Source organism: Homo sapiens, chromosome 20, assembly GCF_000001405.40.
Source record: "Homo sapiens chromosome 20, GRCh38.p14 Primary Assembly".
Classification (NCBI taxonomy): domain Eukaryota; kingdom Metazoa; phylum Chordata; class Mammalia; order Primates; family Hominidae; genus Homo; species Homo sapiens.
The window spans coordinates 22277527-22285280 of record NC_000020.11 but is presented as its reverse complement, the minus strand read 5'-3'; the positions used below and the strand labels follow the sequence as shown (position 1 = coordinate 22285280).

Below are 7754 nucleotides of genomic sequence, written 5' to 3'. Positions count from 1 at the left end.
GGAAAGTGTATGAGAATGCCCATTTCCAAATGAAAAGCTTGTTTCCAAAAAATGAGTGAGTTAAATGGAATTATTAGCAGGAGCATAGACGACAGCTGTATCTGGAGGCTCTGGGGTATGCGGTGGGCAAAGATGGCTTCATACTGCTGTCCTTGGAGTGGTCCTCCCTCATGAAGGAAATACTGCCATGCTTGCGGAGATCTTGCCACGGTGGGTTTAATAGCCATGAGCCAAGGTGCAGAATTTATACAATATTGAAAAGGAAACTTCTGGGATTTATTCAGGTGCATGCCAGATGTTGTGCTGGCAGTGGCCCCTCAAGGAGTGACTCTTGGAAATCAACTGCAGACCCTGGAATCCCACACTCTTTTCCCCAGTTAACCCTTAGAAGACCACAGGGGCCAATCCTGAGATCATCCTTAGTCAAGAGGCGCTGGTGGTCATAGTATTTATTCAGTGTTGCTACCTGCAGAGCTATGGCCAGGGTACAACAGGCAACGTGTTAGAATTAGCATGAAGTATCTCCGTGCTGTAATAAATTTGTTCACTTGGTGAAGTAAGCCCTACATACGGGATAGATGGTTGGTGACAACCTGAATTTTGAAATTCATTTGACTATTTTGTAAGGTCTTCTATTTGGAAAAATGTCAAATGTGCCCCTGTGTTTTTAGAGTTTGACGTGTGTGGCTGCAGAGCTGGGACTGGAGGCTCACAGGGGGCAGGAACCATGCTTTAAGCCTCCTCTACTCTCTATCCTACTCAAAGGGCCCAGCGATGGATGCACACAGCAGGCACCTAATTGATGTTTTCTGTTGTGAAGTTCCTTAGGGGATCTCATGGGCTGCATGGCTCTGTTCATGTCATGTGACATCTCTGGGGCTCGGTTTTCTCAGCTGTAAAATGACTTTCCAGAGATGAAGTCTTCCCTTTACTCTCTATGAAACACACATTAAATCCAAATCTGTCCTGTGAAGGCAGCCACCATTGAAGGCAGACTGGGAGGGAGCACAGTTGGACTGGCCGTGAGCAGCTCTCCCACTTTTGCAGTCGGCCTAAGAGTGCTCCTTCTGTGCTGTCCTCATTTTATTTGGATGTGAGTCATTCAGCATGATCCCCATCCAGCCAAAATTACTACAAGGCAAGGATCCACTTGAAAACTGGCATCACTGACCACAGGAGAGGACATGGCACTATGATCTCAACAAAGCCCCTGAACCTTCATGTTTTGGGTAATGTTTGGAGCAAGTATTTGCCTTCAAGAGATACATAGGCCAGAGGAAAGTTCAGAGGATGCTCAGGTATTTGAAATAACAAGTAAAATAATCATTAGAATTGGAAAACCAAAAAAGGATTCTGTAACCGAAGAAAATTCTTTACCGTGCAACATTTGTCAAGGCAAAGCTATCTGAGGCTGGAAAATTCTGGTATGTTGTGGCATAAAGCCCTTGTGGCAAAATCAGAGTATATCACATCTATGGTTTTGTCTGTCCAGAACAGCCCTTCTTGTTTTTCAGGTAAAATGTTTACTCCTCCTGTTTACTTGTTTGTTGAGGTTGGAACTATCAATCATCATTCTCTGATACCCTGGACCCTGGTGGGCACCTGACCCAGGCTGACCCAGTCAGAGTTCTCTATGAGGACTGTAGCTGGAATCAATGTGGAGGGTCCTGTTTCCTCACTGGTCCCTGTAATGTGAAGAGGCAAGCCCCACGGTTCCAGAAGGAGCCATTACCCCGGCTTCACTCTGACAGTCGGCCAGGGAAAACGAGGCAAGCACCAGAGAGAAGCGGATGCAGGAAGCAGAGGACCGGTCCCCAGCCATCCTTAGGGCTGGCTCCACGTCCCCACCCAGCTCCACGTCCCCACCCACACTGCTTAGGGTTTTGGCTTCTGTTTTCATCTCTCCTATTTTTAAAGTCTTTTTCTTTTAATTGCAAATGAAAAAGGCTCCAGATCACATGTAGAGTATTCATAAATGAAAGAAGTCCTACTCTGTATGTATGTACACACCTTCCTCAGAGGTGCTGGAGCAGATGCTTGCTATTTATTGTGTTCCTAAGTGTCTAGTTTGTTCTGCCTCTGGCACAACTTGTGACTCTGACCTAGGAAGGCTGGAGGAGAAAAGTTAAGTGGGTTTGCTCAGGGAAAAAAGAATGTTGAACATGTTTCTGTGAATGAAAATTTTTTTGAAAAGGAGTTTGGAGAAAAGAGATTTTATTCTGGTGTACAGTCTGCAAACTGGGGACATGCAGCCTTCAGTGTAAAAACTAAGTTGTGTACCAGAAAGCGAAGGGAGAGCTCTGGTTTTCTACTGAAAGTTCCTGCCCAAGTTCCCAATCAGGTTCACCTATGCAAATAAACCCTGATTGGTCAAGGCAGCTGAGTCCTGATTGGTTGAGGCAGCTGAACAATGATTGGTTGAGAAAGGGCTCAGCTTCAACCGAGTCCCAAAGCTGAACACAAGTGTCGGTTTTCAGGGAACTCAAAGTGTGTGTGTGAGACATCTAGTCAGCAAATAGCTACTTGGCTTTATTTTAAATTTGGGCCCAGTTTACTAATATAACTCTATTTACATTTGGGATCCATCTTTATGAATTGGCTCTTTCAGGTTCATATTTAGTCACATCTTATAATGAAACAAACCGTCTCTAGAACGTATGCATTTGAGCACTCCAGTACTCGAGTATCCAAGGAAGGTGAACCAGCCCAGGAGTCCTGTAAACAGCCATCCTTCCAAGTCAGCACATAAAGTTGGAGGTGCAGCTTCAGAAGAAGGCTAGATCTGCCTTTACCCAGAACAGTGAGTGACGTTTGATAAAAATGAAGAAATAATGACAAGAGAAAATATTGTCTCAATTGTATCAGATTAACCGAAACCATTAACGTCAGAGCTTGATGGAACAATCACCCATCATTTTAAACAAAATGTGAGTCTACTTTGGTGGCTTCCCCATAGGCCCAGAGGGTGCTGGATGCGGATCTTGTCATTCATGTCCTTGAACAGGGAACATTTCTCATAAGATTTCCAACTGGCAGATATGGAGGGGAAGAGAACATTCAGCAAATTATAGCCAAGAAACTAAGGACAGAAGTGAGCCACCCACACCTGATTCTTAGCCCTTAATCTCCTAGATTCCTGAGATCTGAATCAATAAATATTTGAGGTTATGGCCGTTTTTTAGAACTTTTGCTTAAGCAACTTGTTTAAAGTTCAAGAAAGAAGCAAAGTGAATATTTCCCTATTAATGAAAATTCATATTAAAGATTTTGAAGGCTTTCCACTGTTTACAGAGTAAAGTCAGGACATTTCAGGAGGACCTGAGAGGCCTTTCATGGTACTGCTTCTTAGAATCCCCAGCTGTATCTTGTTAAATTTTATCTGTTTCCTGTTCTGCCCCTACCTCCTTTTGAGGGTTTACTCTTTAGAATACAGCAAAATAGGAAAATTCTCTGCTAATGGTGGAAATAGGAAGTAGTATAAGCACTTCAGAGGGCAATTTGGCTATCATCTAGTAAAGTTCATCTTCATGAGATACTCTGAGACCTACCCATCTCTCTTCCAAAAATAAGCCGTAGAGAAACCTCTGCCTTGCACAAGGAGGAAGGTATGAGAATGACCACTGAAGCTTTTAAAAAATACTTTAAAATACAATCCAAATGTTTATTCATTGGTAATGGATAAACAAATTGGGGATATGTTTTAACTACTACACAGTTGTTAAAATAAATACACTAAATCTACTTATTTTAGCATAGATGAATTTCTAACATCTAGTGTTGGGAAATAAAAGCAAGTTGAAAATATTATGCATAAAATAATTCCTTATTCATGTAAACTTTAAAAAACAGAAAGCAACACCATATACAATAGTTACTTACACATGTTATAAATTTTAAAATATGATTTGAAAAGATGCGAACCACCTTCAAGACAGAGGTCAGAGGTCTTTTTGGGTGAGAGAAGCCAGTGGGATGAGGGAAAGTTACTGTGCCAGCTAATATTGTACTTTTTTTAATGTTCAAACAAATATGGCACCTTTATTTTGAATATTAGTTTGAAAAATCTAAGTGTTGTTATGAGTGTTTGTAATATTAATCAAAAAACTATTTAAAATTTTTGAAATATTTGATAATTGTAAAAAAACTGTAAAAGAACTAAACAGATTTGATAGAACAGTAAATAGAAAAAGGCAGTGGTTGCAATATTAATATAAAATAATATAGAATTAAAAGGTTAAATCCTAAATGGAAAAACACTTTCATTTTGTTTCCACCTCCTATTTTAATTTGTATCTTCTCTGGCTAGAATTTTATTAATTTTTTAACCTTTTATTATATTGTATGTGTTTTTATATACCAGCTCACATCCTTTGTAGAATGAGGCACAATATAAATGAACAAACAAGACATCCAACTCTTTTTATATCGGCATAATTGAAACAAGTCTGACATTAATCCTAGTGCTTTTGAAGTGTGTTATATAACTTCTACCATCATTTTTGTTGTTTTAATGATGTAGAAAGGATCATTGTCCCTCCTGGCTAATGGATAAATCTTTCCAGACACTTAGGATACAGTCAGCAAATCTTTTATCTAAACATGGTAAATATTTTAGGCTTTACCAGCAGGAAGGTCTCTGCGCAACTTGATGCTGCTGTTGTTGTGGGAAAGTGGCCATAGATAATATGTAAATGAATGGGTGTGGCTGTTTACTAATATAGCTTTATTTACAAAACCAAGCATCAGGCTGAGTTTGACCAAGAGCCCGGATTTACCACCTCTGAATTAGGACATAGGACCCTCCGAGGGATTTTACAAGCCATTCTGAGGAACATTTTGGGTCTTGTGCTCAAGGAAATGGCTTCTTCAAGGATTCCACAAGATAAGTTATACCCTCAGTTCTTTGCTTTACATGGACAAGAGCTTTGACCTCCAAAACTGGGTGAAATGAGACATTTGCTTTTATTTGTTTTTATTTTAAGCAGCTCTTCATATGTATAATTTCCTTTTGCCCCATTGAGAAGAGTACATTATAATTTCCAGAGAATTCAAACTTTCTTTTCAGTTTTTAAATCTGTGACTTGGATACATCTCAGGGAAATTCTGCCCAAGAACCAGTGGAGACCAAACTGGGATGAGAAGACACATTGACAGTGATTTACCCAAGATGGGGTTTATTTAGTAGCACCAACTGCCAGTCCTTCCCATACAGATGCCTATGGGGCAGACAGATAGGAAGACAGCAAGCCACTCACAAATATGAATAGAAAGGGAGAAATGCTCGTTCATTCCTTGTTTCTTTTATTCATTTCACCAATATTTACTGAGCACTTACTATGGTCCAGACCATGTTGGGCATTGAGGATATGAAGCGAACAAGACAGTCGTTGTCTTTCCCTTATAGGACTTACACCAGTATCTCTGCTCTAGGGATTTGGATAGAGAGTGTCAAATATGAAAACATGCCAGGGGGCTCATTTAGTCAGCAGTTTTTACCCAGATTAATGGCTGATCAGAAAAGAAAGGCCAAAGCACAATTCAGCTAGCATATACATAAGCCACAAATGTAACAATTCAAAGCCATCTAATGGACATGAACACCAAAATGTGAGGATTTGAGCATACTAAATAAATTGTTAATTCTACTGTAGAAACTCCTTCTATCTGGAATTCAAGGAGAACTTTTACTTAAATATTAGTAGAAATACTTTTATGATTATTGCTTAATGTATTAGCATACCAGCTGACCTCAGGCAATTTGGTCATGCAAAACTCTTTTTTGTTTTGTTTTGTTTTTGTTTTTGTTTTGGTAGAAAATGGCAGCTTTTAAAGAGGTTAGAGGTGGCTGAGCATTCACTTCTCCCCCTACAATCTGGCTAGTAGACTCTAAGGAAAGCTAATTTCAAAGAAAATTCTGACACATCCAGCTCTTTTCGGTTGAGGAGTTATTATCAAGCAAGCACAGAAGCAGCTCATACAACTTGTTCTGTGAGCTCACTGAAGTCTCAGGCTTCTGTCCTGTTAGGTGTTCAGACCTTGCTTGGAAGGTCACTTGAGATAGACACCCGCAATTCCACAGAGGGGCTTCTGCTAACCGTGTGGACAGCTTCAGGCAGGCAGAGCCCTGGGGATTCCTAGCTGGACACAGAACCATAAAAAGATCAAGATTCAGGCAAAATCACCAAATATCATTGATCCTTTGGTTGTTTACACCCTGTTATAATACAGGGGAGTATTTCCATAATATTTTAGCCAATCCACATACTTTGATTACCTTCAATTTCACCAAAAGAGGACACTTTTAAGCATGCATCAGCTTATTAACAAGCCACAAGTTTAACCCAAATCTGCATGCTAATCAGACAAGCCAAAGTAAGATACAGATAACAGAAGCTCTGCAATACTTGTTCCAGCAGAGGGGTTTCCTCTCTCACCTGAGGCAAGTGTGCCTGCCTGGTTGAATTCTGTGAGGGCCTGAGTTTTAGCTCAACCCAAGTAACAGGCATGTAATCCCACAGTGTCTGTGCTGCAGTATTTAAAGTAAATTGCAAGTGATAAAATAGTCAAGGAAGCACTATTATTACTTGCTATTACTTATTAATAATAAAATTAGTATTAATTACTATTATGGATTACTATTTATGTTTTAGTTACTTATTTATGCAAGTACTGATAATTTGGGGAAAACTGTATTGTTTTAAGTGAAAGTGAGAAGATAGGGCATAGTAGTAACCAAACGAAAGGAAATAACCATTAAGAAACCCTTCACACAGAGATAGATAGATAGATTGGTAGATAGATTGATTTACTTTTTTTTTTTATTATACTTTAAGTTCTAGGGTACATGTGCACAATGTGCAGGTTTGTTACATATGTATACATGCTCCATGTTGGTGTGGTGCACCCATTAACTGGTCATTTACATTAGGTGTATCTCCTAATGCTATCCCTCCCCCGTCCCCCAACCCCATGACAGGCCCCGGTGTGTGATGTTCCCCTTCCCGTGCCCAAGTGTTCTCATTGTTCAATTCCCACCTATGAGTGAGAACATGCGGTGTTTGTCTTTTTGTCCTTGTGATAGTTTGCTAAGAATGATGGTTTCCAGCTTCATCCATGTCCCTACAAAGGACATGAACTCATCCTTTTTTATGGCTGCATAATATTCCATGGTGTGTATGTGCCACATTTTCTTAATCCAGTCTATCATTGATAGACATTTGGGTTGGTTCTAAGTTTTTACTATTGTGAATAGTGCTGCAAGAAACATATGTGTGCATGTGTCTTTATAGCAGCATGATTTATAATCCTTTGGGTATATACCCAGTAATGGGATGGCTGGGTCAAATGGTATTTCTAGTTCTAGATCCTTGAGGAATCGCCACACTATCTACCACAATGGTTGAACTAGTTTACAGTCCCACCAACAGTGTAAAAGTGTTTCTATTTCTCCACAGCCTCTCCAGCACCTGTTGTTTCCTGATTTTATAATGATTGCCATTCTAACTGGAGCGAGATGGTATCTCATTGTGGTTTTGATTTGCATTTCTCTGATGGCCAGTGATGATGAGCATTCTTTCATGTGTCTGTTGGCTGCATAAACGTCTTCTTTTGAGAAGCATCTGTTCATATCCTTTGCCCATTTTTTGATGTGGTTGTTTTATTTTTTCTTGTAAATTTGTTTGAGTTCTTTGTAGATTCTGGATATTAGCCCTTTGCAAAAATTTTCTCCCATTCTGTAGGTTGCCTATTCACTC

At 39.8% G+C, this 7754-nt stretch overlaps 1 long non-coding RNA gene across 1 annotated transcript; it reads left to right on the top strand.

Moving 5' to 3' along the window:
• The first annotated feature begins 2479 nt into the window (after positions 1 to 2479).
• Positions 2480 to 5053, top strand: LINC01427 (long intergenic non-protein coding RNA 1427). Its single transcript, NR_110615.1, has 4 exons — positions 2480 to 2487; positions 2609 to 2737; positions 2866 to 2927; positions 4741 to 5053. It is a non-coding gene; the product is annotated as a long intergenic non-protein coding RNA 1427 (long non-coding RNA).
• The last annotated feature ends 2701 nt before the right edge of the window (positions 5054 to 7754 follow it).